Raw genomic sequence first — 3,919 nt, 5'->3', positions numbered from 1 at the left:
TAATTTTCCCTTCATATAGAAATACATTTTACTGTGTTTACAACAATGTAATTTCAGAGACAGTGAAAGTGTCTTAACTCACAAAGGAATCAAATAGAAATGGAATCAGAGAAAACATAGTCTGACCCTTTGAAGTGATGGGGGTTTCAGCATGTTAAGGTGCTTGATTTTGGTTCTTAGACCACTCTTGGTGCAACTTTCTTCTAAGATAGATAAATAAATATGAGTAAAGGCACAAGGGTAGGTTTTAGGTAAAACCAGGAGGTAGTAGAAGTGTGTTTTAATAAATTTATTCACCTTCTTTTTCACCTGTGGAGTATTAGTGCCTCCTCAATTCTCTTTTCTCTCTTTTATCAAACCAGCGCTTCCAGGAATGTTTGAATTGGAAACTTTTCCTTGAATTATAGAATGAAAGGCCTTTTTGTGTAATATGATTACAGACACCACAGAATAGGAGGTTTTCCAGGCAAGAGGATTATCTTTGTGCCCATGAAATCACCCAGTGAACTTGCTAAGAGCATGCCAGTTATGACATAGAATATTTTTAGCTCATATTCTGTGGAAAAAGTCTAGTAATGACTGAAATCTTGCATTTTTTAGCCTCCTACAATCCATTTTTTTTCACAGTGAGTCAGAGGGACCTTTGAAAAATACAAATTATATCACATTCTTTGTCCTATTTAAAATGATTTAATGGATTTCCTTTATCCTCAGAAAAAAAGTAGCCAGGGTTGTAACATGGCCTATGAGGCAGTGTAATAATATGGCCTCTGGTACTTCTCTTCACTCTTGGCAATCCAGACACATTGGTCTTGTTTTAGTTCTTTGAGAACTGCAGGATGGCAGGAAGTAGGTTTTTTTGAGTGCTCTATTTTCTAGTGCCTAGTGAGGTGCCATGATTAATAAGCAGTTTTTTTTTTTTGAGACATAGTCTCGCTCTGTCACGCGGGCTGGAGAGCAATGGCACGATCTCGGCTCACTGCAACCTCTGCCTCCCAGGTTCAAGCAATTCTGCCTCAGCCTCCTGAGTAGCTGGGATTACAGGCACCCGGCACCATGCGCAGCTAATTTTTGTATTTTTAGTACAGACAGGGTTTCACCATGTTGGTCAGGCTGGTCTCGAACTCCTGACCTCAGGTGATCCACCCACCTCAGCCTCCCAAAGTGCTGAGATTACGGGCATGAAATAAGTACTTTTTAAATGCATAAATGAAAGAAGGAATGAGTGCAGTGTTGTCACCATTCTAGTCTGTCTTGATAAAACTACCCCTGAAGATGGCTGACTACAAGCAGCAGCTTTCGGAGACTCCTGTCGAAAAAAAAAATTAGCGTGTGAATCCTTCACCGGCAACCAAAGTATCCAGGTTCTCTCATCAAAGTTGACTAGAAAGCTGGAGTGACTCACGGAGAGAAAGAACAGTGTGGTGCGCGGCCCACTTGAGAGCCACACGGGGAAGGGGAACCTCCTCCCCCTAGCCAAGGGAGGTGGCGAGTGAGTGTGCTACCCAGCCAGGGAAACTGTGCTTTTTCCACAGAACTGTGCAACCCACGGATCGGAAGATCCCACTCGCGAACCCATGCCACCGAGGCCTAGAGTCCCAACTCTGGCATGTGCAGATTCTTACAGCCTCTTAGCTGGAATCTGCTCAAGCCTACCGAACTCGGGAGGGGAGGGGCGACCAGCACCGACTGGGGGTGCCTGCTGACTAAGCCATTGGAGCTCCCTGGGGGAGGGACAGCAGCCAGCACTGGGACTCGCAACTGCCTAGCACGCTAAGATCCCTGGGCGGGGGAAGGGCGACACACATTTCTATAGCTCCAGGCTGTGTTTTTCCCCTTCTGGAGCCAGAGAGGCAGGGCAGCTTGGTCCCAAGACTTGTCCCCACAGCCTAACACACTGGCTGTGGCAGTTTCTGTGGCCAGAGTGCCTCTTCAGGCCTAAACCTGACCCAGCCTTCCTCATTGGGCGGGGCTTCCCTGCAGGATCTCCAATAACTCCAGCCAGAGGCTCAGGGACAGAATTGGAATTGGGGGAGGTGTCGCAGCAGTCTCTCTGGACCAGCGGACTTGGCCTCTTCTCCTGGCAGTTCTGAAGAATCCGGGCAGCCCAGATGAGAGGGATTCCCCCCAGCGAAGCACACCTTCTCCACCAAGGGACAAAGTGCTTCATTAAACGGGTCCTGCTCCCCATGTCACCCAACTGGGTGAGACCCCCCAACAGGGGTTGTCAGACACCCTTTACAGGAGTGATCCTACTGGCATCAGGTTGTTGCCCCTTGAGGTCAGAGGTCCCAGAAGGAGCAGGCACCAATCTTTGCTGTTCTCTAGCCTCTTTGAGTGACATCTCCTCGCTCGGTAGCAAATCAGATAAATAGGGCCTGAAGTGAACCCTCAGCAAACTGCAGCAGCCCTAAAGAAAAGGGACCTGACTATTGAAAGAAAAACAAACAAGCAGAAAGTGACAACAACAGCATCAACAACACAAAAGGCCCCCATAAAAACCACATCCAAGGATCAGCAGCCTCAAAGACTGAAACAAGACAAACTCTCGAAGATGAAAAAGAATCAATGAAAAAATGCTGAAAACCCAAAGGTCAAAGTACTTCTTCTCCTCCAAATAATTGCAACGTCTCTCCATCAAGGGTGCAGAACTGGATGGAGGATCAGATGGACAAATGTATAGAAATAGCTTTCAGAAGATGGATAATAAAAAACTATGCTGAGCTAAAAGAGCATGTTTTAACCCAATGAAAGAAGCATCAACAGTCGAATTGACAAGTGGAAGGAAGAATATCAGAGTTTGACATCTACCTTACTGAAATAAGACAAGTATACAAAAATAGAGAAAAAAGAATGAAAAGGAATGAACAGAGCTTGCAAGAAATATGGGACTTCATAAAAAGACCAGACCTATGATTGATTGGAGTACCAGAAGGAGACAGGGAGAATGGAAATGACCTGGAAAACACACTTCAGGATATTGTCCAGGAGAACTTCCCCAACCTAGCAAGGCACGTCAACATGCAAATTCAGGAAATACAGACAACACCATTAAGATACTCCATGAGAAGATCAACCCCAAGACATATAATCATCAAATTCTCCAAGGTTGAAATGAAAGAAAAACTGTTAAGGGCAGCCAGAGAGAAAGGCCAGGTCACCTATAAAGGAAAGCCCATCAGACTAACAGCAGATCTCTCACTAGAAACTCTACAAGCCAGAAGAGAGTGGGGGCCAATATCCAACATTCTTAAAGAAAAGAATTTTCAACCCAGAATTTCACACCCAGCCAAACTAAGTTTCATAAGCAAAGGAGAAATAAAATCCTTTCTAGGCAAGCAAATGCTGGGGGATTTCGTTGCTACCAGACCTGCCCTGCAAGAGCTCCTAAAAGAAGCATGAAATATGGGGAGGAAAAACAGGTAGCAGCCACTGAAAAAACACACCAAAATATTAAGATCGATGACACTATGAAGAAACTGCATCATCTAGTGTGCAAAATAACCAAATAACATCATAATGACAAATCAATTTCACACATAAAAATACTAACCTTAAATGTAAATGGGCTAAATACTCTAATTAAAAGACACAGACTGGCAAATTGGATAAGGAATCAAGACTGCAGGTGTTGTGTATTCAAGAGACCCATCTTACATGCAAAGACACACAGAGGCTCAAAATAAGGGGATGGAGCAAAATTTACCAAGCAAATGGAAAGAAAAAAAAAAGCAGGGGTTGCAATCCTCATCTCTGACAAAACAGACTTTAAACCAACAAAGATCAAGAAAGAGAAGGGCATTACATAATGGTAAGGGGAACAATTAAACAAGAAGAGATAACTGTTCTAAATATATATACACCCCATACAGGATCACCCAGATTCACAAAACAAGTTCTTAGAGACCTTCAAAGAGAT

General features: G+C 44.0%; 2 annotated features.

Moving 5' to 3' along the window:
• Positions 1,107-1,706: an enhancer, noted in NCBI's record as "H3K27ac-H3K4me1 hESC enhancer chr11:43234098-43234697 (GRCh37/hg19 assembly coordinates)". NCBI's record gives its function as "activates a minimal SCP1, AML or CMV promoter by ChIP-STARR-seq in naive H9 embryonic stem cells {active_cell/tissue: H9 hESC(naive)}" and the evidence as "EXISTENCE:reporter gene assay evidence [ECO:0000049][PMID:30033119]".
• Positions 1,707-2,307: an enhancer, noted in NCBI's record as "H3K27ac-H3K4me1 hESC enhancer chr11:43233497-43234097 (GRCh37/hg19 assembly coordinates)". NCBI's record gives its function as "activates a minimal SCP1, AML or CMV promoter by ChIP-STARR-seq in naive H9 embryonic stem cells {active_cell/tissue: H9 hESC(naive)}" and the evidence as "EXISTENCE:reporter gene assay evidence [ECO:0000049][PMID:30033119]".

Source organism: Homo sapiens, chromosome 11, assembly GCF_000001405.40.
Source record: "Homo sapiens chromosome 11, GRCh38.p14 Primary Assembly".
Lineage (NCBI taxonomy): Eukaryota > Metazoa > Chordata > Mammalia > Primates > Hominidae > Homo > Homo sapiens.
This window is presented reverse-complemented; position numbering and strand designations above follow the sequence as displayed.